The sequence below is a fragment of the Homo sapiens genome, chromosome 4 (assembly GCF_000001405.40).
Source record: "Homo sapiens chromosome 4, GRCh38.p14 Primary Assembly".
Lineage (NCBI taxonomy): Eukaryota > Metazoa > Chordata > Mammalia > Primates > Hominidae > Homo > Homo sapiens.
Genome location: NC_000004.12, coordinates 109,547,977 through 109,575,795, shown reverse-complemented (window position 1 = coordinate 109,575,795; position 27,819 = coordinate 109,547,977). Strand labels below are relative to the sequence as shown.

General features: G+C 42.8%; 1 protein-coding gene and 2 pseudogenes across 2 annotated transcripts in view, besides 4 other annotated features; 1 reads left to right on the top strand and 2 right to left on the bottom strand.

The window, feature by feature from the left end:
- MCUB (mitochondrial calcium uniporter dominant negative subunit beta) overlaps window positions 1–15,550 on the bottom strand; it is a 128,474-nt gene extending 112,924 nt beyond the window's left edge. Inside the window, exon 1 of one of the 2 annotated variants that reach the window (XM_006714246.4) lies at window positions 14,779–15,550. In XM_006714246.4, coding sequence (XP_006714309.1) covers window positions 14,779–14,790 — 12 coding nt within the window. In that variant the 5' untranslated portion in view covers window positions 14,791–15,550. The remainder of the gene's footprint in view (window positions 1–14,778) is intronic. The other variant, NM_017918.5, reaches the window with a different exon arrangement.
- Window positions 9,322–9,539: a silencer, noted in NCBI's record as "fragment chr4:110487413-110487630 (GRCh37/hg19 assembly coordinates)". NCBI's record gives its function as "represses an EF-1alpha promoter that drives an FKBP-Casp9 reporter gene in an ReSE screen in K562 erythroleukemia cells {active_cell/tissue: K562}" and the evidence as "EXISTENCE:reporter gene assay evidence [ECO:0000049][PMID:32094911]".
- Window positions 14,664–14,863: an enhancer, noted in NCBI's record as "active region_21803". NCBI's record gives its function as "activates an Ori minimal core promoter by ATAC-STARR-seq in GM12878 lymphoblastoid cells {active_cell/tissue: GM12878}" and the evidence as "EXISTENCE:reporter gene assay evidence [ECO:0000049][PMID:35858748]".
- Window positions 15,284–15,603: a silencer, noted in NCBI's record as "silent region_15623". NCBI's record gives its function as "represses an Ori minimal core promoter by ATAC-STARR-seq in GM12878 lymphoblastoid cells {active_cell/tissue: GM12878}" and the evidence as "EXISTENCE:reporter gene assay evidence [ECO:0000049][PMID:35858748]".
- Window positions 19,983–20,688, bottom strand: CDC42P4 (CDC42 pseudogene 4; annotated as a pseudogene).
- SETP20 (SET pseudogene 20) lies at window positions 21,660–22,744 on the top strand (annotated as a pseudogene).
- Window positions 26,980–27,039: an enhancer, noted in NCBI's record as "active region_21802". NCBI's record gives its function as "activates an Ori minimal core promoter by ATAC-STARR-seq in GM12878 lymphoblastoid cells {active_cell/tissue: GM12878}" and the evidence as "EXISTENCE:reporter gene assay evidence [ECO:0000049][PMID:35858748]".

Genomic DNA, 27,819 nt, shown 5'->3' with positions numbered 1-27,819 from the left:
CTGCTATACTTATGAAATGACCTTTTTCTAATGTCTAATAGCCTTACATAAATGGGATAACTATAAAGATATTTCATCCTAATTTAGTGTGAAAGATACATTAAGGTGGTATATTTTCTCTCCAAGAGAGGTTAGACTTTGGTGTCAGTTTTCACATAATTGCAGGCATAACAACTGTTGATTACGATGCTTAGTCACTGGCACAAATTCAGACTCCACTAATTAAATGGCAGCACAATCCCACTAAATTGAATAAACTAATTAAACGAATGTGGCTGGATTCGTTATAAAGTGAATTTCATATGTCAAGATGGACTATAACCTGTCAGTACAGCAGCCAAGCTTAAGCTCAAATGAACAACAGTTATGAGTAGTACACTTGAGTTGGTTTCAGGCAAAACCTCACAACAAACAGTCTAACCCCCAATGACCTTTTACAGAAAGATTAATAATATCATATCAATAAAAAGCTAAAACAAAATTACTCTCACTAAATAGTTATTACACTATAAATAAGCCAAAGCTTTTCCTTGGTGGGGAAGGCAGATGGTAAGGAGCGGGCAGAACAAGGGATGAACAGCAGTAGGCTAATTTTAGCAAGGCATCTGAGTTTATCAATCTCCAAACCTCAGTGGTTTCTGACATTGTGATAGATATCAAAGCTGGGTACCCAAGGGACCTCAGAGAACATCAGCGATGAAAGGAAGCGTAGAGATTAAGATCACCTCAGCTTCCATTCTGACCTGCGGCAGCCCTGGGTCTCAAATGCTCCTATTTAAGCTAACTTTTTGGCTTCTCAATAATCTACCCATCTTTCTTTCTACTCAGTCTAACTTCTCATGCAATTGTTAAGTCTCATACTTTTTTTGGATCTCTGTCTTACCCAATCCATCTCTGGGTTGGATTCTCTGTCCCTGGAACAAGTGCTGCTTCCCTGATTTCTATTCTAGGCACTAACACTGTATTTAAAATGAGCACTTCGTTATCAGTGCTTGACCAGTCCGGCTCTGTCTCCCATCCCTCCTTGGCCTGACCAGCGTGGCAGTGCTCATGAGTGCAGCTGCCACCTTCAAGTACTGCACAACAGCTGCTGTCTCATTCCTCATATGATGGTTATTAACGTCTTGTATATGCCCTCAAATTCTCCCTTTTTGACTGCTCTGTGAAAATAGATCTGGGACCTTTAAATATTTTTCCTTTGCTGACTGGCACTGAAGTTTTTTCAGTAGAGGACACTAGAGAGCCACTGACGGAGGAAAAGATTTTGCTTCCTGGTTCGGGTGTGTTCACTTCACAGGCTCCTATTGCATAGATATAGATGGCTTCTCCAGCACCAGGCTCTAGCTGTGTTGGCAGTTTTTCCAGTGCTTCTTTAGCTTCTGCCTGAGTTATTTTAGAAACTTGGGAGTCCTACACTTCAAGAAGCAGTCTATTAGGGAACAGCCAGAATGGATACAAAAATTTTCTTGAACTGAGCTGAACTCTGCCTACCTATTCTGCTCTATCTTGGGAGTAATTTCCTTGCTTGGAAGCAACACAGAATGACAACCTTCTTTCACATGATACCATCTCAGATATTTGAATGCAAATATCTTGCTTTTCCTCAGCTTCTTTTTCACTAGATTAAAAATATGCAGCCCCAGTCGGGCACAGTGGCTGACACCTATAATCCTGGCACTTTGGGAGGCAGAGCCAGGAGTTCAACACCAGTCTGGCCAACACGGTAAAACTCTGATTGTACTAAAAACGCAAAAATTAGCCGGGCATGGTGGTGGCGCGCCTGTAATCCTAGCTTCTTGGGAGGCTGAGGCAGGAGAATAGCTTGAACCTGGGAAGTGGAGGCTGCAGTGAGCCGAGATTGCGCCACTGCAATCCAGCCTGAGCAACAGAGCGAAACTCTGTCTCAAAAAAAAAAAAAAAAAAAAAAATTCAACCCTTTTAATCATCTCCTACAAGAACTCTCACCATCTTAATCATCTTCTGAATGCACCTCCCTGTCCAGCTTTGTTAGTGTTCTTTGTAAAGTACTGCCCCAGTAACAAAACACAATGCCCTTGACTCAGTCTGACAATCAATGTGACAATCCCAATGTAATGAAATGGAACTGTTTCTTGCTGTAATCAGATGCTGCATTTCTCTTCAATTAGTTAGGAGCCATACTAGCTTCTAGAATCCATCATTCATGAGTGGATCAACGGAAACTTCCAGATCCTTTGTACACAACTACCAAGCCAGGACTCCCTCATCCTATACATACTTTTCTCCCCCATTAAGAGAAACAACCTTTTCCTAGCATTGCTAAATCGGTTTTGTTTCTACCACTCTTCCTTTTTTTTTTTTTTTGAGATGGAGTCTCACTCTGTCGCTCAGGCTGGAGTGTGGTGGCGCGATCTCCGCTCATTGCAAGCTCCACCTCCCAGGTTTACGCGGTTCTGCTGCCGCAGCCTCCCGAGTAGTGGGGACTACAGGTGCCCACCACCACGCGTGGCTAATTTTTTTGTATTTTTAGTAGAGATGGGGTTTCACAGTGTTAGCCAGGATGGTCCCTATCTCCTGACCACATGATCTGCCCACCTCGGCCTCCCAAAGTGCTGGGATTACAGGCGTGAGCCACCGTGCCCAATCTGTTCCTAATATTCTTAAAGCAATGGTTAATATGTGCTTACTAAGTGCAGATTAGTCTGGTGCAGTGTAGGATGAGAATAATAAGACTCCAGAAAAAGACAATTCCACAGGACCTACAATGATATTTTATGTTTTGACATTGCTGGGCACAGGTACAGTTTATAATATGTTTATATCAGTAATAATAATATTAAATACTTCCAATACTACATATATGTACATATTATAAATAGCACTTTGGACAACTCATTAATTGAAGCCTTACTAATATTCCACAGACAATACACAAGAGTGACTAGTTCAAGAAATATATAATGTAGCTATGGCAATCTAGCCATTTCATTATATAAAGCAATAATTATATTGTAGTAGTATGAAAAGCCATTGAAAATATATCTAATATCTCAAAGTTATGCATTTGAAACTGATCAATAGTGACATCCAAATCTGACAAATTAAAAAACCAAGTATATAAGTGACGTAATTAAGTAAATAACATGACTTCATTATATGAAGTCATGCTAATATAGTTATTAATCTCTTTCTAAATATACCCTGAACTAGAGTGAATTAGTGTCAGTTATGATATTATATACTAAGACACGTTTTATTCTGAGATACAGTTAGTTAACATCTTTCAACTATCCTAAATATCTAAGATTTCCAGTTTTTAGAACATATTTATAACAAGCTTGTCTATAAAATGCTACTAAATTAATGTACCAGATATGCATAATACTTTTAATAACTATTATTGCTCATTTAGCTATTAATCACCAGAATTCCTCTAAAGTAAGTCCTCCCTAAAACCATATCGTCAGCATCTTTTCTCAGCTATATTTATTTTCTTCCTTATCAGATGTTATTGCATAAACTTCAGTTCTGGCCTCAAATTCTAATTTAACCATTATAATGTATTTCTCTCTCTTCCTTAGTGTGTAAGTGTACAAGACTATATCCTTTTCTATTATGATACGCCTGGAGGGCGGCTTATAATGAACCCAATAAGGTGTCAAATGTTCCTGTTCTAGCTCAAATTACTTTTTAAGTTTTTCAGAGAGAAATAAAGTTTCCTTGTAAATATCTATTGCTGAGGAACACTTATAAGTGAGGCTCAATAGTGTCTTGGAAATTCAGTGACCCCCAAAACAAAACTACCCCGTTTCTGGACAAGGGGACTGTGGCAGATGTAGCTAAACATCTGCTAGAATCCATTCTTCCTCTTCCCACAGTAATCAACTTTTAGCTAGAATGTGGTTCCTGGCCAGGACTACATATCTCAGCCTTCTTGAAGCTAAATGTGACCATGTGACATATTCAATAAAATATTCAATGGAACACACACACAAGATATGTAACACTCCAGGCCTAGGCCATAACATCTTGCAAAACTGAAACATCCTCTGTGCACTTTTGACTTTGGAAGTCACATGTAGAGATGACAAAGGAACAGGTCAGCTTAGCTCCCTGAATGACTGTGTGGAGCAGAGCTACTGCTTGACCTGTAGAGCTCATCACAGAACCATTTCCTAAGAGGGAAAAAACTGGCTTTAACAATAGCCTGGCACGGTGGCTCATGCCTGTAATCCCTGCACTTTGGGAGGCCGAGGAGGGTGGATCACCTGAGGTCAGGAGCTGGAGACCAGGGCGACCAATATGGTGAAACCCCATCTCTACTAAAAATACAAAAATTAGCTGGGCAGGATGGCGTGTGCCTATAGTCCCAGCTACTCAGGAGGCTGAGACAGAAGACTTGCTTGAACCTGGGAGGCGGAGGTTGCAGTGAGCCAAGATCGCACCACTGCACCCCAGCCTGGGTGACAGAGTGAGACTCAGTCTCAAATAAATAAATAAATAAATAAATAAAGTTTAATCATTAGGTTTTTTTGTTTCAGCAGCACAGCTTACTCTGAACCAGAAAGATATATAAAATTCGTTTCTTAAAAAAACAGTTTGGGGAAGGAAAAAGAAGGAAAAACATACACACACTAAGTTCTAATGTTGGGCTAGATGAAAGATACCCATGGTTTAATGATTCTAAAGAGAAATAAACCTATTGGAATAAACACCTGTGCCAATGCACTGCCTTGAATGTTCCTTAGCCAAGCCTTTTCCTTTTCATCCATCATGTCACTTCTCTCATAGGAAATGCAACTCACTACTGACTCTGATTCTTCCCTTGACTTCAGACAGGAATTCATTATACATCTTAGTCCTAGCATTCCCATTCTCTTCCTTCTCTCATACTTGCCAGGCATTGTGGCCTCATGGTTAGTTATAAGGCTAACACAGAAAACTGCTGAAATCTCTACACATCTTTACATTCCTCCTGTTTTTCCATTGTATCCATTCCTGTTATTCCAGCTCCATGTACAATAACCATGACTTCGTAATTGGTCCTTATTAACGTACTTATCTCATCCCACTATACATATACGGTATTGCTACATCTAAATTAGTCCTCTAGCATAACATCTGTATTAGTACTTCCAAAATCTTGATATTGAGTCTACAGACCAGAAGCTGGCCAAAACTACAGCCTATGGGCCAAATCTTGTCTGTGGCCATTTCTGAAAATAAAGTTTATTGGAACACAACCATGCTTATTCATTTAGGTACTATTTATGGCTGCTTTTGCACTACAATGGCAAAGTTGAGTAGTTTGGACAGAGGCCAAAGGCCACCAACAGTGAAAATGTTTACTATTTGGACCTTTACAGGAAAAGTTTACCAATCTCTGACATAGACCAACATAATTTCTCATAAAGACAATGACAGCTATCTCCTTATACCTCATTCATTTAACACTAGGACAAGTACCTGTACTAGCAGAATAAGAAATACAAAGATATACATTCCCAAAGATATAAAAGATACAGCACCTGATCTTCGAGATTACAATGTACAGAGAAAGAGAAGGTACATGGGGGGATGCAGGCATGGTGGTAAGCTCAATACATAAAAAAGCCCTAATACAAGGGAGTACAGAAGTACCAAATGAGCAGTAAAATAAACACTATATGGAGATAGATGAAAGAAAGATGATTTTCATCTAGGTAATCAGGAAAGGCTCTATTTATGGAAGTAGTGATGTCAAAGATGGATTTTTAACCAGAAATAGTATGGGTGAGTGGCAGGCCAAGAGAGCATGAGACAAAATGTTATGCTCTATAACATGCATTACATGCCCTCTTCTATTTCAGGTTTAACCATGGATTACCATTCTCGGAACTTCTTTATATTGCTTCCTGACAGCCTCCAACAGCATTCATCTCACAATGTCTCAATCTATTTAGAAACTTTTGGTTGGCTGGTCAGCCACTGGAACAAGATAAGGCACAGGCAGAGCTGCTGTAACACAGAGACCTGGCCAGGAGCGGTGGCTCACACCTGTAATCCCAGCACTTTGGGAGGCCGAGGCAGGCCAATCACCTGAGGTCAGGGGTTCGAGACCAGCCTGGCCAACATGGGGAAACACCATCTCTACTAAAATACAAAAATTAGCCAGGTGTGGTGGCAGGCACCTGTAATCCCAGCTACTTGGGAGGCTGAGGCAGGAGAATCGTTTGAACCCGGGAGGCAGAGGGTGCAGTAAGCCAAAATCGCACCACTGCACTCCAGCCTGGGCAACAGAGTGAGACTCCATCTCAAAAAAAAAAAAAAAAAAAAAAAAGGGATAGCCAAGAAAATACTTATATGCCAGGCAGTCCTTCCAGAATTTATATTTTGTTAAATTTTGTTAATTATGCCCTTTAAAAATCCTGATATGAAAGTATATCTGAAATAAAACAATTAATCAAAATATGATTTAAGACTACTATTCATGGCCAGGCGCAGTGGCTAACGCCTGTAATCTCAGCACTTTGGGAGGCCGAGACGGGCGGATCACAAGGTCAGGAGATTGAGACCATCCTGGCTAACATGGTGAAACCCCGTCTCTACTAAAAATATAAAAAATTGGCCGGGCGTGGTGGCAGGCACCTGTAGTCCCAGCTACTCGGGAGGCTGAGGCAGGAGAATGGCGTGAACCCGGGAGGCGGAGCTTGCAGTGAGCCAAGATCGTGTCACTGCACTCCAGCCTGGGTGACAGAGCCAGACTCTGTCTCAAAAAGAAAAAAAAGACTACTGTTCACTTTTAATAGAAAATGTAATATGTATAAAGGTTCTTTTTGTTAACTTTTAAAAAATCTTCAATTATTCAACAAGTAGACAAGAATGCTTCAGGTTTTCCCCCTAGATTAAGTGGAGAAGAGGAAATTGCGAAGATAAAACCTGAACAGAACACACCATTAAGGAACTTTATATACTATTTTGTTCTTTGTCATCTATCCATTCATTCATTTGTTATGTACCTACTGTGCCAGGGCAGAGGGGATCACAGATGGAGAAGAAACAGTTCCGACCACAGATTGCTGAGAATCCAGGTGGGAAAGTCTTACAAGCACAACTAACTATAATGTATGGTCGAATGATGTAAGTTCTGTAAGTATTGTGGGGCTGAAAAACAAAGTATAATGGAATCTGCCTTCAGAGATCTGAAGAGACCTCACGAAAACTGAAGAGGGGTCTGTGGGGAGATGGGGGGTGGCTATTGAAACTCAGCCTTGAAAAAAGAGTAGAAGTCAGGAGGGTGAAGAAGCGGGGTAAAGGGAGAGAGGCACTACCGCCTGGGGAACACCATAAACATCAGCAACGAGGGGTGAAAATACATGACAAGCCACAAGAAGAAGAGGAATTAGCTCAGCCACGCTAGAGCGGGGATACGGAAGAGATAGAGCAGAAGATGGAACTGGAGGGATGAGGCCATGGCTCTGGTTCAACTGCAGTTTATGTTTTAAGGCTTGCTTACCTGCTTACCTTTGTTTCAATAATAACAAACCCATAAAAGGGTATTTACAAGGTCCAAAGGAACTATATTTTCTCTTGAAAAGTGAAAACCGGTTTATTATACCAATTCTATCTTCTAAAACATTCCCGAAGCCGAGTTACAGAAATGAGTATTAGACTACAAAATGTCTTAACAAATATTCTCTAGCAAGGGCTTAGAGGGCCAATGATGTCTCTTTGCAAAACACTCTCTAAAATAATTTTTCCCCCCCAGGTTTATGGTCACATTACAGTCAGTCTCTAGAAAGAAGTTATTCATCAATAACTTTTTAAATCCCCTGTTCAGGCCAGGAGCGGTGGCCCACACCTGTAATCCCAGCACTTTGGGAGGCCGAGGCGGGTGGATCACCTGAGGTCAGCAGTTCAAGACCAGCCTGACCAATATAGTGAAACCCTGTCTCTACTAAAAATACAAAAATTAGCCAGGCATGGTGGCGGGCGGCTGTAGTCCCAGCTACTTGGGAGGCTGAGACAGGAGAATTGCTTGAACCCGGGAGGTGGAGGTTGCAGTGAGCTGAGATCGTGCCACTGCACTACAGCCTGGGTGACAGAGCAAGACTCCATCTCAAAATAAATAAAATAAAAAGCCCCTGTTCAAATATCCCATTCAGCCACTAGGAAACAAACACTTTGTTTGTTTTTGGAGATCGAGACCGTCTTGGTCAACATGGTGAAACCAAACTCGGTCTCTACTAAAATACAAAAAATTAGCCAGCCTTGGTGGTGGGATTACAGGCACGTGCCACCATGTCTGGCTAATTTTTTGTATTTTAGTAGAGACCAGGTTTGGTTTCACCATGTTGGCCAAGATGGTCTCGATCTCCAAAAACAAACAAAATGTTTAACAAAAGAAAACATACTATGTTTGTACATAACATGTATGTACTGTACATGCCCCACAGGAACACATACAGTACCATGCAGAGTCAGAAAAAACAAGAAGGACTTATCAAATAGATAAGTCTTCCTTCCTCAGCACAGGATCAGGGCATTCATTATTTACTGTTACGCCCAAGAGGTTGAAAATAAGCAAATTCATCTTTAGGTTCCAGAAATGTGATTTGGGCAGTGCATTCATTATAAAAAGTTATATATGCAGTTGAATATAATACCACCTGTGTCCACAGCACTTTTTTTTTTTTTTTTTTTTTTGAGATGGAGTCTCGCTCTGTCGCCCAGGCTGGAGTGCAATGATGCGATCTCGGCTCACTGCAACCTCTGCCTCGCGTCTCAAAAAAGACATCTACTCTTCAACCAATTCTCCTGGCTCAGCCTTACAAGTAGCTGGGATTATAGGTGCCTGCCACGACACCCAGCTAATTTTCTGTATTTTTTAGTAGAGATGGGGTTTCACCATATTGGTCAGGCTGGTCTTAAATATTGATTAATCTAACTAACATCTGCTATATAAACTAAATGCGTTTGGGTCATGAATAGAAATGAGCAACTAATTTGGTTGGTGTTAAGCTAGCAATGCGACACGTGAATGCCTGCCAACCTGGCCCTACCACCACTTAGCTCTGTGAACTTAGCTGAAGTCATTCAGTCTATTTGGGCCTGTTTTGTCCCCTTCTCAAAACAAGGAGATTCGTCTAATTGGTCTTAAAAGTCCTTTTCATCCCTAAAATTGCCATTTTGTTGTTTTACCAGGGGAATATAAATACACCATTGAACAAAATATTGTCAATGTCAGAATGGTCTTAATGATTGAAAAATTCTCTTTTATGATCTTAGGCAGTCAACAGAGTGGTAGTTTTACTTAGTGGTTGTAATAACTGTTTTTCCTTTATTTATTTATTTATTTTTTTTTTTTTGAGACAGAGTCTCACTCTGTTGCCTAGGCTAGAGTGCAGTGGCGCGATCTCGGCTCACTACAAGCTCTGCCTCCCGGGTTCATGTCATTCTCCTGCCTCAGCCTCCCGAGTAGCTGGGACTACAGGCGCCCGCCACCAAGCCCGGCTTATTTTTTTGTATTTTTAGTAGAGACGGGGTTTCACCGTGTTAGCCAGGATAGTCTCGATCTCCTCACCTCGTGATCTGCCCACCTTGGCCTCCCAAAGTGCTGGAATTACAGGCGTGAGCCACTGTGCCCGGCCACTGTTTTTCCTTTCAAAAGAAATTGAAATTTGGCTGGGCACAGTGGCTCACGCCTGTAATCCCAGCACTTTGGGTGGCCAAGGCAGGAGGATCACTTGAGCCCACAGGGTTGAGACCAGCCTGGGCAACATAGTGAGACCTTGTCTCTACAAAAACAAACAAACAAAACACAAAAAATTAGCCAGGCATGGTGGTGTGTGCCTGCCTGTAGTCCCAGCTACTTTCGGAGGGTGAGGTGGGAGGATCGCTTGAACCCACGAGGTTGAGGCTGCAGTGAACTGTGTTACAGCATTGCACTTCAGCCTGGGCAACAAGAGCATGACCCTGTCTCAAAAAAAAAAAAAAAAAGAAATGAAAATTTATTTGATGGGTTTCGCATATCATAATGAATTAGAGTAAGTCTCTCTCTAATGCTTCATTCTGTTACCAGTGTTTTTATCTGTGAAGTATTTCTTATTCAGGATTATCGTCAGAACCCTAAAAGCTTTATATAACAGACATCTTAGGTTATCCTAGAAGTTATCAACCATTAGATAATGAACGAAACAGCATTATCTCAGCCATATTCTAGAAGAATCTTTTTTTATCGCATTTACTTTAACAGTATTAATTTTCCTTGTTTTTTAAACACACACCAGCTCGCTGTTCTCTGAGCTAAGTATTTAACTTTGTGGCATAGGAACCTTCACCCAAATGTTTTCACTGAATTTTCCACATTGGCATACCTTTGAAAAAAGAGGTTGATGAAACATTGGTAGTCAGTTAAAGGTACCCATTAAGAGGACCCATGGAAGAAATTGCTGTCTAGTCTTAATATTAGAATAGTTGGGTTTCTCCAGAGCAGATGCAGTGTATATTATACAGACAGTGAAGCGTATAGCCAGTGGTGTTGTTTATGCAATGGCTGTCAGAACGCTGAGGATCAGATTTTTGACCCACTTCTAACAAATGTGAAAGACCTATGCCATGCATGTTATGTATTTACAGTACTCATAGTTTCATCTTCTCTACCTTCATTTTCCTCTGGTCATATCACCACCCATTTTTCCATAAGCATCTTTTAATGGGAAAAAAGTGATGCATAAATAAGGTTTTAAATAAAAATCAACTCTTTAATACTTGAACAAATATGTTCTAAGTAGTTAATTGTGGAAGTGTGGCAGACCAGTCTCTTTCTTGTTCACTTTGTCTTTTTGCTGCTTTGCCCATCGAAGGTGCTCAATACATATTGATTGTGTTGCATGGAGTTGCTGTAAGAATCTAATTTTGATGCTATAGTTCTCTCTCAAAGAAAGATGGTAGTACTGAAGTTACTACTCTCCTCACTCACTTATGGAAGTGGATTCCTCTTTTCTTCCTGCTGCCCTCACCTGCTCTAAATCTTCCTATTTCCTTGCTACCCCATCCCCACCTGAGTTAAAGTATAGTTTGCATCAACTACCAAGCCCTGTAACCATTTGTTCTGAGAGTTTCCTGTGTCATAAACTTCCAGATGTGTTGATTTTACATAATTTTTACCTTAATTACAGGTTCACTACAAGTATTGTAGATCAGGTTTGCATTTTGGCAGCTCTTTAGGGAACAGATTTCAGTCCAGGATTCACAATATTGATGAGAAATCATCTATGAAATCTGCATGATAAACAAGGTCTATTGAAGATAATTTTTTTGGAATAGATTTGAGGGCAAGAAATAGGGAACAGTGAAAGAGAGGCAAGATATGGGGCTAGACTTGAAATGCATATAGCCAGCCGGGCGCAGTGTCTCATGCTTGTAATCCCAGCACTTTGGGAGGCCAAGGTGGGCAGATCACGAGGTCAGGAGATCGAGACCATCTTGGCCAACATGGTGAAACCAAACCCGGTCTCTACTAAAATACAAAAAATTAGCTGGCCCCCATGGTGGCACATGCCTGTAATCCCAGCTACTTGGAGGCTGAGGCAGGGGAATCGTTTGAACCCGGGAGGCGGAGGTTGCAGTGAACTGAGATTGCGCCACTGCACTCCAGCTTGGCGACAGAGCAAGACTCCGTCTCAAAAAAAAAAGAAAAGAAAGAAATGCATATAGCCTATAAGCAGAAATAAATAAGAAATGACATAAAACATTGAATCTCATATCAAGAAACTGACAGGTTCACAAAGCTTTGCTGTGGTAAACTTTAGAGAGGAAAATCTTGAAGACTGGCAAGGGTCACCCCACAAATATGAGTTCTTCCTGAGGATCTTATGATATTTACTAGATTGAGTAGATTATTAGGTCTGGCTTTTTCCTTTACTTTTATTTTTTTAAGAAGTGCTGTGGGCTGGGCGCGGTGGCTCACGCCTGTAATCCCAGCACTTTGGGAGGCTGAGGCAGGAGGATCACGAGGTCAGGAGTTTTAGCTCGAGGTTTTCTACCTTAGTTTCACAGGTACCTCATTCAACAAATATCTTTCTGCCAAGACACAAATGATTTCCTAGCTTAGAATTTGCTGTAAAACAGCACTAATACCATTTAATCACAATAACAAGCAAAATCTAAAAAAAACACACTAATACTTAAGTGCTGCAAAAGTGGTAATGTTTAATATTTAATTGACAAGCTGGTCTAGCATTACTTTGAGATCAAAGCATCAATGTCTTTTCCATAGCGTAAATACAATCACCAACACTTAACCAATTGCTCTCCTCAGGAGAGGGCTCTGAAGTTAGTTTTATAGAATAGAATACAATGTACCAACTGCAAATACAAGAGATAGAATAGTAGGAACATGTCAAACAAGAACGATATGTTCATTAAATTAAAAAGATGAAAACAATTTCTAAGTTGACATCTTGTGGTGGAATTTAAACATCCATATGCTTTGTTTCTAGAAGTTAAAAAAAGCATACTCGATACTTAAGCTGCTCTGCAGAGTGCTTGATGTAAAAATTTTTTAAACATAGCTTATGTATGGACTCAAATGCTGTACTGGGGACATGAAATCGTATCAGGGAGTTTCTCAGTCTAAGTAGCACAAAATCCAAATTAAGAAAGGCACATTTAGGCAAGGGCTTTCTGTTCAGATGTAACTCACCAAGCACCACAATTACTCAAAGCTGAGTCTTTGTGCACAGAAACATCAGCAGGAGCCATGGATTGCCCTGACAACCACTCAGCTAGAGTGCTGACAAGCAGAGATGCTGCCACCAGAGCGTGATTATGGCCACCAGGCCATGCCTTGCCCAAAGATGAATACAATATGCTCTTGCTCTACTACGCTTCAGACTAAATGTGTTCTTTAAAAAACAATTCTGTATATCCATGTCAACAAACTGTTTTTTTTTCCCCTCACCCAGAAAACACTAGCAGACAATTGCTCACATACAATATGAAGTATGAGAATTGTGTATTTTTCAAAGTTATTAAATGCTCCTATAAGGCACACTCATAGAAGTGTGAAAGACTTCAGAAAGACCAATTATAGTTGGGAACGCTTATTTGAAATACTGCTTACGACAAGTCCTTGCAAGCTAAGATTTTATGAGCTGTCAGGTCACAAACTACTTGTTTTTCTAGCTGCTTCATAGGCTCTAGGGGTCTGAATGTTTCTGGGAAAAAAAATAAATAGAAATAATACTTGCCTTTACCCACAGGATATTTCATAACAAGTGGGAAAGCCACAAAAGAGTGATATCTTAGAATGAAAAATGTCCCGATAGCCAGGTAATTTGATTAGCAGAAAATGGTTTAGTAGTCCTAGCTAAAACTCCTCAAGAGCCAGAATATTTTTATCGGTTTACTCATGGTAAAATGTAAAAGCTGTATATAAAGAACAGCATTTCCACTTCTCAAGTTCTGAAAATTGTCTTTATAGCTGGACAGTTGGCTTAAAACAAAAATTTGCAAATTAGAAACATTCAAACATAACGCTTCTTACGATGATTCCTAACTACTGTTTCCCTGTTATTAGGCCTAATAAGCCCGATGGTACCATTTTCTTTTAAAAGGGTATCCACATTCCTGCTGAGGTATGCAATGGCACCACCCTAGACAGCATCAGATGGGAAATATGGAGAAAAGGATTTGCAGGTGATAATTTGAGAAAGGGCAGCCAGTCCCGGGATCCACAAAAATGCTACTCAACGTGTTAAATGGACTTAATAGAAAACACTTGGGGCTGGTCGCGGTGGCTCACCCCTGTAATCCCAGCACTTTGCGGGGCTGAGACGGGCGGATCACAACGTCAGGAGTTCGAGACCAGCCAGTCTGGCCAACATGGTGAAACCCCGTCTCTACTAAAAATACAAAAATTAGCCGGGTGCGGTGGCGCGCGCCGGTCATCCTATTTTCTGGGGAGGCTGAGGTAGGAGAATCGCTTGAACCCAGGAGGCGGAAGTTGCAGTGAGCCGAGATCGCACAACTGCACTCCAGCCTGGGTAACAGAGCAAGACTCCGTCTCCAAAAACAACAACAAAAAACAATAATCTGTGTTTAAAATGGCATGTGAAAGGGGTTCCTCGTATTGGGTTGTTTTAATGTTTGGTATCTCTTTGACTACACAATGCAACACTTACAGTAAAAGTACAACCTTTAAAAGTATAAAAAGCCCATCTCCCCAATGACTTTATAAGTCTACCATTTTACATTTTAAGGAGTTTGCCCCTGTTCTTACATTTAGTAACAACATGGCCTTCCTCATTCTCTTTCAAACATTCCTGGAATTGATTTTCTGAATGCACTTAATCCTTTGGTCACAAGCTCAATGAAAAGGAAAAAAAAATGCACTTAAATATTCCCTGCATCAATTGAAACTGAAGCCCTCAGACAGCTGGAGGAAAAGGGGGGGAAGGAAAAAAAAGAACAAAATAAACAGGAAGTGAAAGTGACAAGAGAATCACACTGCTTACTTTTTGGCTTTTAAGCCTTTAACAATCTGAAAGTAATCTTAACAGTGTGGGGGAGGAACAAACGAAAACTCAGAAACAGCTCCCTCCCCAACCACACACACCCTGAAGGCTTTGGCTGTCTTTCCTCATCTGGGTCAGAGTTTGCACTCCCGGGCTCCTGTCAGGCTCCATCGCAATCCTCCTTAAACTCAGCGCTTTCCCCTTCTTCTAGTCTTTTTTGGTGCACATCCACTCTCTACTCCTCCAAGCCACGGTTCTCCACAGACCACAATACAACGGTGTCAGGCCAACTGTTACTCACCAGCACACTCATGATTCACCCGTCTCTCGGGTGTCTGAACAAAACGCGAGTTTTTCTTCCTTCTGGGAAAGGGAGGTGCTCGCAGATTTCAGGATGGAAATTTCACTCTCCTGCGACCGTCCACACCCGGGACGGTCACTGCCCCGTTCATCGTTTCCGGGCTCCTTAGGGGCTCGGGCACTGATCACCAAGAGGGAACCGGCCCCGCGGCGCAGCGGCTTTGGAAACTTGCTCCTGACCGAGAGCTGCAGCCCAGAAACTGCCTCCCAGGTTATTCTGCTGCTCCCAGGCCGAAGTCTGGTGGTCCCCGCACCCTATCTCGGCCCGGGTGAGGCACCCCCAGCCGCAGCGCTCTGGCTTCACCTTCCCCGGGCCCGGAGTCTTGACCTCAGCCCAGGCCTCCGTGACCCACGTCGGCCGCCCGGCCACCACCTGTCGGGACCGCCCGGCGCGCGGAGCCCGGCAGCCAGCAAAACGCAGTTGACTGCTCGGCCGCTCGGCTTTTGCTCCCGCCAAAGTTGTCCAACGCAAACTTTGCACCAGCCTACCCCGAACCCCCACAGCCCGGCACCCGCTCTTACCTGGGGCGGAGGCGGCAGCGGCCACGGGCGCGCTGGGCGCCAGGTGCCAGGGGTCGGCAGCAGCCGCGTGCGCCACGGCCAGAGGCCCCTCTGGAGCATCCTCCCGCCCCAGGCGCGCGGCTCCCGCAGGCGTCAGCGGCGCATCCTCCCTCAGCCGGGCTCCTCGTCAGCGCCTGGTGGCTCCGAGCTGTGGGCGCTCCCGCCCCGCCTGCTCGCTCAGCGCGCCGCGGCTCCAGCTTGGGCGGGCTCACGGGAGGGTGTGTCCCTGTTTCCACTTGTCGGCTCTCTACGCATCCGGGCGCAGGGCTGTTTTCTTTCCTCCGACCAAAAAAAAAAAAAAAAAAGAGAGCGAGAGAGCGGGAGCCCGAGAGCGGGAGCCCGAGGTCGAGGGCCCCCTCCTTCTCCAGCAGAAGACCCTCTGGAATGAACAGCAGCAGGCGACGCACACCTTGCGAGCTCTAGATTTCAAAACTCGCTGTTAATTCCCGGTGCTGCGTGCTCTGAGCGCCGTCTTCGCCATCCAACCCAGACGGGGATGAGACGAAAACAGCGTCCGGCATCTGGAGGGGGCAGGGCCGCTCAGGAAGTTTGTTTTCCCCACCGAGCTTGGAGAAGACGGATTGAAGCGGGTCGGCCGAGGCCTCTCCCACCTCCACAACCTCCAAGGCCTCTGCCCCGGGCTGCGGTGCCGGGCCCCTGCTCGCTGGCGAGTGCGGTGTGAGGCGGGCAGCCCGGGCCTACCCCTGCGGAGGTTTGTAGTTCACGGTATAGGGGCCCAAACCCGAGTTTTTTGGGAAAGTATCTCCCACAGAATTGGCTTCTCTTTTGAAGCACGTTTTTAATTGAAGAAGCTTCGGAACCGGTATTGAGTTCTTCTAACTACTGGGAAATCGGATGCTTTGTTTTGAGACTACTTATTTTTGAAAGCAAACCAAAGGCATTAAAGAGCAACCTAAACCAATTACAGTAGGGTTGTTAGATAAAATATAGGATGCCCAGTTAAACTTGAATTTTAGATACAAATAGTGAAGTATGTCCCAAATATTGCATGGGTCACATTTATTATTTTAAAAATGAAATATCTGGGATATACTAAATTATTTGGTGTTTATCTGAATTCAAATTTAACTGGGCACTCCGCATTTTTATCTCCTGAATCTGCAAGAGGGTTCAGTTAATGAATCAAAATTGGCAAACCTGCAATAAGTGGCAAATCACTCCTGGCGGTAATCTCCTTTCCTTATTGAAAAGGGAAAGAATCACAAGTTTCTACTATAGTAAAAACTTTATCACTATTAAAGGCTGATTCACCTGTGTTAACTAGCATGTCTTTCAAAATACAGTTGCCCCAGATGGAGAGTGACACATGAAACTTTAAGTTCATATGGGAAGGTAAATTACCTTACCTGAATCTTTTCCTCCTATTAGCTAGTGCTCCAAGTGAAAGAAGCGTGTATTTTTGTTTTTTTGTTGTGAAGGGTTCTTGTTTAATACAACTGAAAAGAATGCCTATACAAAGAATTGACATGAAAAAGCATTGATTCAACACTCATGAGCTAGGTTCTGAAAGGTGTAAAAAAATTACCTGAACATTTTTAGAAATTGGAAACTACAACTAAAACTGATAAAAATCCCTATTAACATTTGTGAAGAATCTTGATAATGTGTCCTGAATTGGTGGGTTCTTGGTCTCACTGACTTCAAGAATGAAGCCGCGGACCCTGGTGGTGAGTGTTACAGTTCTTAAAGGTAGCGTGTCCGGAGTTTGTTCTTTCTGATGTTCGGACATGTTTGGAGTTTCTTCCTCCTGGTGGGTTCAGTGGTTTCGCTGGCTTCAGGAGTGAAGCTGCAGACCTTGGCAGTGAGTGTTACAGCTCTTAAGGTGGCGCGTCCGGAGTTGTTCATTCCTCCCAGTGGGTTCGGGTCTCACTGGCCTCAGAAATGAAGCTGCAAACCTTCACGGTGAGTGTTACAGATCATAAAGGCAGTGCAGACCCAAAGAGTGAGCAGCAGCAAGATTTATTGCAAACAACAAAAGAACAAAGCTTCTAGAGCGTGGCACGGGACCCAGACAGGTTGCCACTGCTGGCTCTGGCAGCCTGCTTTTATTCCCCCATCTGGCCCCACCCACATCCTGCTGATTGGTCCATTTTACAGAGCGCTGATTGGTCCGTTTTGACAGGGTGCTGATTGATGTGTCTACAATCCCTGAGCTAGATACAGAGTGCTGATTGGTGTATTTACAATCCTTTAACTGGATATAAAGGTTCCCCAAGTCCCCACTAGATTAGCTAGACACGGAGCACTGATTGGTGCATTTACAAACCTTGAGCTAGACACAGGGTGCTGATTGGTGTGTTTACAATCCTTTAGCTAGACATAAAGGTTCTCCAAGTCCCCAGGAGATTAGCTAGATACAGAGTGCTGATTGGTGCATCCACGAACCCTGAGCTAGACACAGAGCACTGATTGGTGCATTTACAAACCTTTAGCTAGACAGAGTGCTGATTGGTGCATTTACAATCCTCTAACTAGACATAAAAGTTCTCCAAGTCCCCACCCCTCTCAGGAGCCCAGTTGGCTTCCCCTAGTGGATGCCATGCCAGGGTTGCGGGCTGAGCTGCTTGCCAGTCCTGCGCTCGTGCCTCGTGCCTGCACTCAGCAGCCCTTGGGCAGTCAATGGGACTGGACGCCGCTGAGGCAGGGGCGGTGCCCCTCAGGGAGGCTAGGGCCTAGCAGAAGCCCACCGCGGGGGGACTTGCACATGGCGGGCTGCAGATCCGAGCCCTGCCCCATGGGGAGGTGGCTGAGGCCTGGTGAGAATTTGAGCGTGGCGCGGGCCGGCTGGCAGTGCTGGGGGACCTGACGCCCCCCTCTGCAGCTGCTGGCCCAGGTGCTAAGCCCTTCACTGCCCGGGCCGGGGGTGCCGGCCGCCCTCCGAGTGCGGGGCCACGGAGCCCACGCCCACCCGGAACTCGCGCTGTCCCGCAAGGCCACATGCAGCCCCGGTTCCCACCCGCGTCTCTCCCTCAACCTCCCTGCAAGCAGAGGGAGCTGGTACCAGCTTCCGCAAGCCTGGAGAGGGGCTCCCACAGTGCAGCAGCGGGCTGAAGGGCTCCTCAAGCATGGCCAGAGCGGACTCTGAGGCCAAGGAGGCGCTGAGAGCCAGCGAGGGCCGCCAGCACATTGTCACCTTTCAATAAGATTCTTTACACAATTTTTATTAAACCAGAGAGCCAGCCAGGCGTGGTGGCTCATGCCTGTAATCCCAGCACTTTGGGAGGCCAAGACGGGCGGATCACAAGATCAGGAGTTCAAGACCAGCCTGGCCAACATTGGTGAAACCCTGTCTCTACTAAGAATACAAAAATTAGCCGGGCGTGGTGGAACGTGCCTGTAGTCCTGGCTACTCGGGAGGCTAAGGGAGGAGAATTGCTTGACCCCGGGGAGGCAGAGGTTGCAGTGAGCCGAGGTTGTGCCACTACACTCCAGCCTGGGCGACAGAGCAAGACTCCATCTCAAAAAAAAAAACAAACCAGAGAGCCTCATTTGGGGGCTCTTGGGTTCCTCGTCTGCTACACAGAAGTGAGGAGATTCCCCTGACTGATCTCATGTTGTTAAGTGTTCTATCCATCCCCACCACACCCCAACTTCTTCATGAAGCAGGTCTCCATCCTTATAACTTGAGAGGCTGTGAATCATTCCATAGATGTCGGTCTTCTGCTACCGCTCTTCACATTGCCTCTACATACCAGGTCTTCAGCTGCATTCTAGAAACATCATATACTATTGATTGCAAATCTATAATAATATAAGACAATGACTGACAGGGAAAAAAGTTTTTTTAAGTTACAAACTCAATCCACTTGTTGCATTTCAAAGGTGCAATACTTTTCTTTATTCATCAGTTAAAGAAGTTAGAAATTAACTTCCCCAAAAATCAGCAACCGGCAAACAAATTTCCTTGAAAGTCACAGTCACATATTTAGTGCATCCCAGAAAAGAACAGGGGCAAGAGAATTTTCACCCACTTTCATGAGTTTCATCAAATACTGAGCCTACTCAAGGGTGGAGAGAAAAGGTAACTTTCAAAAAGAGGTATGTTATTAAATAAGGCATTTACTATATTCTTTCCTAAAAGCACCCCAGATAGGGAACATGTTTTTTAAACTAGATTTAGGAAGTCGAATATGGAGTCAATCCGTCCTTCTCCTCTTAAGGACTGACCACTGGTTAATGAATTAAAAAAGAGAAAAGAAAAGAAAAGAAAAAAGACTAAAAAACAAACCCTACAAACACTCCTCCTCCAAAAAAGAAAAAAATAAAACCCCACTAAGATGTCCCAGATTACCCTCCAGAATGGACCCAGGGAGCAGCTTCAACAATTCCAATTAGTCTGTTACACAGTCATCACAAGCATGCCTTGCTTTTAAGTAAAAACAAAATTGTTTTTTGAAACAAAAACCAAAAATGAGTACTGATCACTTTTCTAACAATACACAATTACTCAGAATTAACTAGTATTGGGAGGGAGAAGTGGGCCATACCTCTAATCCCTGTCTCACATGGATGCATGTGGGTTGGTGCAGGGTATTTGTCATTATTGCATAAATGAATTTTAATTTTTAATCTTTTGTTTGATTTAAACATTGCTTTTAGTATGATGCCTACACCAGCTGTGCAGAAAGGGCTCTGGAGAGATGTTCATAGCAGCATAGGCTTCCAGCTCTTCTTCAGTTCTGGAGGCTCCAGGACAGCCAATATTGCTTTGTCAAATCCATTCTTTAGATCTTGCTGTGTGGGTACAGGACCGTCCATATACTTGACAGCCTTCAGGTTGTGGGCCGGCTTTTCAGCAGTCTCTGGAGTGATAGGCTTCTATTTGTTCTTGGTAATTTTCTCAATAATAGACCCTCTGAGATCAATTTGGGTTGTGACAAGCAAGAAAGGAGCCTTTGGACAGTGGTGAGTTATCTCAGGCCCTCACTTTTCTTTCATACTTTAAAATGAACATGGAGAGACCACTGAGAAACAGACTAGAAATATATCTGTGTAGATAACTCAGGAGTTATAGTCTGTCATAATCTTCTTGCCCTGCAGAATTAAAAGTCTAAGAGTATATGGCTCTGCACCAGTCCTAACTGTGAGTGCATAGTTGTCAAAAACAGTCTGTATCTATTAGGATGGAAATTTGTTGTGTAGGATATCAGGAGACATGTTTTACCAACAACTGCATTGACCACAACAATGCAACTAATTGTCTGCATTGCTGAAATAGTTTTGTATCCACTTTAAATATTTGAAATCTGATGTTGACCTCAGTTCTCCAGAAAAGAGTCTTATTAGGAAGGAGGGGAATGGAGAAGAGGGGGAGGAGATGTCCGTTTTGCAGCACAGAATCTGGCCACAAAGGTGGGATTAGCAAACTCCTGTGGGAGAAGCTCCGGACACTGCAGACAGAGCGGGTTTACCGGGGAGGCACTGTCCACAAAGTCGCTCGGCACACATAGATGTTTCGGGTGCACAACAAACTTTCCCACAGTATATAGGACTCTTGATGAGACAAAACGATTACTCAATGTGAGCTAGTTCATAAGTATTACTTATATGTCACAGCCTTTTCACATTCGAATCTCTGATCTCGCTTTTCAAAAAAAAAAAAACTTTGTAAACAGCTCTATTAAGGTATGATCTACATATCGTAACTTTCATTTATTAAAAGTTATTTTTGGCAAATTTACAGAGTTGTGCAACAGTCACCACAATCAATTAGAACATTTCCATCACTCTAGAAAGATTCCTCAGGCTCATTTGCCTCACTCTCCATTCTTACCTCCAGCCCCAGGCAACTACTAATCTACTTTCTGTCTCTCTAGGAAGCAAAGAGCAAGCTGAGCTGGAGATACATTTACTTTGGGTTTAGTGGGATATTTTTGTGTGGTTCATGGTCATTTCTATGTATTGTTAAGATATTGCTAGCCATGCCCACGTAGGAATGGCTTCCAGGAATACTCCTGTTATCCATTGGGCCTCCCACTTTGATAGAATTTTAATGGTAAATAGAGAAGGATATTCCTTTCCCTATTCTGTCTCCAGGTCCTGGACCTCCATTGCTAATAGAGTATTAAAGAACTCTGTACCCAAATGAGAGTACACATTATTTCAAACACATATGGATGATTCACAATGTAATGCCCACATGGTGGGCCTCAAAGGGAATCTCAAAAATGACCTTAAACTTGCTAACATATAAGCTATGTTCATGAAATTAAATATAAGAAATTGGAGTTTTCTGCCTGAGCAAGGAGACTGGTGGTCTGGTTCTTGGGCTTCCCTAGCAGCCTGGCCCCCAAATGCCAGTCTTCCCTCCTGTCTCGAAAGAAGACACCAAGACCACCTCCTGTTCTGAGACCAGAGGAGACTTCGGCCTCTGTAGGCTTGCCAAAGAAGGGCGAAAAAGAACAGCAAGAAGCAATTGAACACATTGATGAAATACAAAATGAAATAGACAGACTTAATGAACAAGACAATGAGGAGATTTTGAAAGTAGAACAGAAATATAACAAACTCCGCCAACCATTTTTTCAGAAGAGGTCAGAATTGATCTCTAAAATCCTAAATTTGGGGGTAACAACATTTGGCAATCATTTACAAGTGTCTGCACTGCTTGGGAAGGAAAACGAAGAGACATTGCATTATTTGACCAGAGTTGAAGTGACAGAATTTGAAGATATTAAATCAGGTTACAGAGTAGATTTTTATTTTGATGAAAATCCTTACTTTGAAAATAAAGTTCTCTCCAAAGAATTTCATCTGAATGAGAGTGGTAATCCATCTTCAAAATCCACTGAAATCAAATGGAAATCTGGAAAGGATGTGACGAAACGTTTAAGTCAAATGCAGAATAAAGCCAGCAGGAAGAGGCAGCATGAGGCACCAGAGAGCTTCTTGACCTGGTTTACTGACCATTCTGATGCAGGGGCCGATGACTTAGGAGAGGACATCAAAGATGATATTTGGCCAAACCCATTACAGTACTACTTGGTTCCCCATATGGATGATGAAGAAGGAGAAGATGATAATGAGGAGGAGGAGGAAGGATTAGAAGACACTGATGAAGAAGGGGATGAAGATGAAGGTGAAGAAGATGATGATGAAGGGGAGGAAGGAGAGAAGGATGAAAGAGATGACTAATAGAATACTGATGGATTCCAACCTTCCCCTTTTTAAATTTTCTCCAGTCCCTGGGAGCAAGTTGTAGTCTGTTTTATTTTGTTTTGTTTTTGCCTCCTGTGCTCAGTCGCCCTATTCTTGAGGTCTCTTTTCTCTACACTTAATTGGGGGAAATATCTTGAGCAGACTACATTGAGAAAAGAGTCTCTACCCCTTTCTGTTCGAAATTCATTTTTATCCCTTCCTGTCTGAATAAAAACTGTATGGAATCAACACCACCAAGTTCTGTGGGAAAAAAGAAAAACCTGCTCCCTTCGCTCTGCTGGAAGCTGGAGGGTGCTAGGCTCCTGCGTAGCAGTGCATAGAATTCTAGCTTCTTGCCTCCTTTCTCTGTATATTGGGCTCAGAAAGTACACTGTGTGTCTATGTGAATATGGACAGTTAGCACTGACCAACATGTATCTATTTTCTCTTGTTTAAAAAAAAGAAAAAAAAAACTTTTAAAAATGGGGTTGGCTGGGTGCAGTGGCTCACACCTGTAATCCCAGCACTTTGGGAGGCCGACGCGGGTGAATCACCTGAGGTCAGGAGTTCGAGACCACCCTGGCCAACATGGTGAAACCCCGTCTCTACTAAAAAAATACAAAAATTAGTTGGGCGTGGTGGCAGTCACCTGTGATCCCAGGTACTCGGGAGACTGAGGCAGGAGAATCGCTTGAACCCAGCAGGCGGAGGTTGCAGTGAGCTGAGATGCGGTTGGTTGCATTAACTTCTACTTCCTGCCAGTTAGCCCTTACTCTGCTTTTTTTTCCCTTTAGCATTTAATCATTACCTGACATATTACATACTTTTAAAATCTGTCTCCCCCAACTGGAATGTAAGCTCCATGACAGAAGGGACCTTGTCTGTTTTGTTCACTGCTCTATCACCAGCACCTAAGTAGTAGGTTCTCAAATATCTGCTGAATAAATTTAATAGATCAATAATAAAACAGGACTTTAAAACTACAACCGCCCTTAGGCTGGGCACAGTGGCTCACGCCTATAATCCTAGCACTTTGGGAGACCGAGGTGGGTGGATTGCCTGAGCTCAGGAGTTTGAGACCAGCCTGGGCAACATGGTGAAACCCCATCTATACTAAAATACAAAAAATTAGCCAGGCATGGTGGTGTGCACCTGTAATCCCAGCTACTCGGGAGGCTGAGACAGGAGAATCTCTTGAACCTGGGAGGCAGAGGTTGCAGTGAGCCGAGATCACTCCATTGCACTCCAGCCTGGGTGACAGAGCAAGAATCTGTCTCAAAAAAAACAAACAAACAAAAAAACAAACCCCAAAAAACTACAGCCACTTTTAAAAATAATAGAAACACACAAACTTGTGGTTAGTAGTACATGAGGATTTGCCAGACACTGTTCTAGGCTGATGGTAGAGTGATGAATAAAAACGATGAGTTTCTATATTCACAAACTATGTATTTGTCAAAGGACTAATATCCAGAATCTACAAAGAACTCAAACAAATCAGCAAGAAAAACACAAATAATCCCATCAAAAAGTGGGCAAAGGATGTGAATAGACAATTCTCAAAAGCTTATACAAACAGCCCACAAACATATCAAAAAATGCTCAACATCACTAATTATCAGGGAAATGCAAATTAAAACCACAATGAGATACCAACTTACTCCTGCAAGAATAGCCATAATTAAGAAGTGAAAAAACAATAGATGTTGGTGTAGATGTGGTGAAAAGAAAACACTTTTATACTGCTGGTGCTAATGTAAACTAGTCCAACCACTATGGAAAACAATATGAAGATTCCTTAAAGAATTAAAAGTAGATCTACCATTCAATCCAGCAATCCCAATCCCACTACTGTGTATCTACTCGAAGGAAAAGAATTCATTATATGAAAAAGACACGTGCACACACGTTTACAGAAGCACAATTTGCAACTGCAAAAATATGGAACAAACCTGAATGCCCATCACCCAAGTAAATAAAGAAAATGTGGTGTGTATATATATATACACACACCATGAAATACTACTCAGCCATAAAAAACAAAATAATGTCCTTTGTAGCAACTTAGATGGAGCTGGGGGCCATTATTCTAAGTGAAATAACTCCAGAATGGAAAACCAAATATAGTATGTTCTCGCTTATAAGCAGGGGCTAAGCTATGAGGATGCAAAGATGTAAGAATGATATAATGTACTTTGGGGATTCAGGTGTGGGGAAGGTTGGGTGGGGGTGAGGGATAAAAGACTACATAGTGGGGTCAGGCACGGTGGCTCATGCCTGTAGTCCCAGCACTTTGGGAGGCCGGGGCGGATGGATCGCTTGAGGCCAGGAGTTCAAGACTAGCCTGGCCAAAATGGCAAAACTCCATCTCTACTAAAAATACAAAAATTAGCCGGGCATGGTCGTGTGTGCCTGTAGTCGCAGTTACTCGGGTGGCTGAGGCATGAGAATCGCTTGAATCTGGGAGGCAGAGGTTGCAGTGAGCCAAGATTGGCCACTGCACTCCAGCCTGGGTGACAGAGCAAGACTCCAACTCAAAAAAAAAAAAAAAAAGAAAGAAAGACTACATATTAGGTACAGTGTATACTGCTTGGGTAATGGTGATGGGTGCATCAAAATCACAGAAATCACCACTGAAGGACTTATCCATGTAACCAAAACCACCTGTACCCCACAAAACTATTGAAATAAAAAAAAATTTAAAAAATTGACACTTAAGAACTTTTTTTTTTAAAGATGAGTTCTGTGTTCTTCCTTACACAGAACCTAGTGGGGAAGCTTGTTCACCTAGTGAACAAGTAATTAAGTAGAGTGACATAAAGGTTATAAGAGTAAAACTACAAGGGCTATGTGAACATACAGCAGGGAGACCCCACCTAAGCTAGTGGTAAGGGACAGGCTGGCATCAGTACACACTAATAACTGAAGGAGGAAGAGCAGCTAACCAGATAAAAAAGTAAAGATGAGTTCTTAGCAGGAGGAACAGCATGTTTACAGGCTCAGAGGCTTAAGAGGTCATAACCACTATTGTAATAAAGAGATAGGTCAAAAGCCTGAGAAAGTCTTTTTGGAATAAACCTGATAGCAAAAACAAACAAACAAAAAAAAACCCACAATTGTGACTTACTGGTGAGCATCGAGTTTTGAAGTCTGATGTTATGTACATGTAATGAACTAAGACTACTTGCTTCTTTCTGTATACCCATCTGTACTGGATGGTCTGAAGCAAAAAAGTGTAGTTAATACATCGATCACAGTAAAAGTGGAGGTAGCAGCAGCCCACATGATAATATTTTGGTTTTCCATGTCCAGTGTGGAATAATTGCAGTGAAGGTGGAAAGTGATAGGAGGGCAAAGGGCAGGCTCAATGTGGGAGTATTATTACTATTATTACTGTTGTGCTGTTATTTTGTTAAGACATTGACTGCCATTTATCAAGTATTTACTACAAGTAAGGTGCTGCACAAGAAACTTTACATACTCGTTCCATATAATTCTCACAAAACTCTTACCAAGGAACCATTATTCTCTAGTAGGGATATGAAAGCTCAGAGAAGTTTAGAAACTTACCCCAGGTAACACAGCTAACAGAGGAACTATAATTCAAATTTTGTTCTGTTTGGCTTGCAAACCCATATTCTTTCTATTACAGTCAGTCTAACATAATGTGACAGATCCAGTGCTAGAACTGAATTCTTTTTCACTATCAAATTTATTCCCACTATACCTCTCAGACTGTCTTCTAATTTCCCTTCAGCACAGTACGGAATGTTGGTTGGTTGGCATTCTTTACCTGGTGGGAGATGCAAATCTTACTTTTGAAGAGTTTGAATCATTAGTGATCCATTCTTTTATTAGGCTGCTATATTTCTTTAACTTTTAGTACTGAACATAGAAGTATTACGAGGCACTCTGGAAAAATCCTCTAGATTTTCGATATAGTCCTCCTTGCCCCATTATGTCACAGCAAATCAATTCCTCTTCATAATCAGGATGATTCTTCTTCTGGTTGTTGACAAAAGGAACCCAAAATGGCTAGGTAATACTCGTAACTTCCAATACAGTGGGAACATTGCTGTGTCCCTTTGAGAACTAAGCATCTCTCCTTTGTAAACTAAGACCCTAAAATTTGGGGACTATATTAAGGGAATGATTTCACTTTCAATTCTTGATTCTTAGACCTGTGTGTCTGGCTACAGGGGAAAAATGTTGGTTGCTTATTCAAAGCATATACTGTATCCTGTAGGATGATACTCCAACCATCACCATAACTGAGTCATCAGAAGAACATTCCACCTTTCTGCCAGGTCAGCTGCTTTTTGGGGTATGTAGTAGTCTGTTCCTGCATTGCTATAAAGAGCTACTTGAGACTGGGTAATTTAGACATAAAAGGCTTAACTGACTCACAATTCCACAGGCTGTACAGGAAGCATGACTGGGGAGGCCCCAGGAAATGTACAATCACGGCCAAAGGCAAAGGGGAAGCAGGCACGTCTTACATGACCAGAGAAGAAGGAAGAGAGATCAGGGGTAGGTGCTACACACTTTTAAACAATCTGATCTCATAAGAACTCAATATCACAAGAACAGCAAGGGGGAAATCTGCTCCCATGATCCAATCTAATCACCTCCCACCAGGCCCCTCCTCCAACCTTGGGGATTACAATTCGACATGAGATTTGGGCAGGGACACAAATCCAAACCACATCAGGGTGACAGGTTGTAGTAAGAGCAGTGAATTCCCATTAACACACTTCTTTTGCTATGAGTTCCTTGATCAGAAGCAATGTTGTGGAGGTCATATGGCAATGATGAAGGCATTCTGTAAGCCCACAGATGGTGGTGGTAGCAGAAACACTGCAAGCAGGGCAGGCAAATCCATATCCAGGTTGTTTGTCTATTCCATTGAGGACAAATGCTCCATGATCAAAGGGGTACAATGTAATCAACATATCAGGTGGCTACTAGTTTTCCCCAAGGAATGATGCCATATTGAGGAATCAAAGAAGGTCTCAGCTGACAATGCTTAGAAATAACAGTGGCAGTAGCCAGATCAGCCTTGGTGAAGGGACATCCATAATATTTAGCCCACACATAGCTTCTATCTTTACAAGTATGGCAACTTTGTACATGAACCATTGAGCAAATACTGGGGTGGCTACAGAAAGAGGCTGATATTCACAGGATGGGTCACCTTCTCCACCTGATTGAGATGGACAAATTTTGCTGCAGATGCCCTTTGGGGTGCATTGATATGGAACAT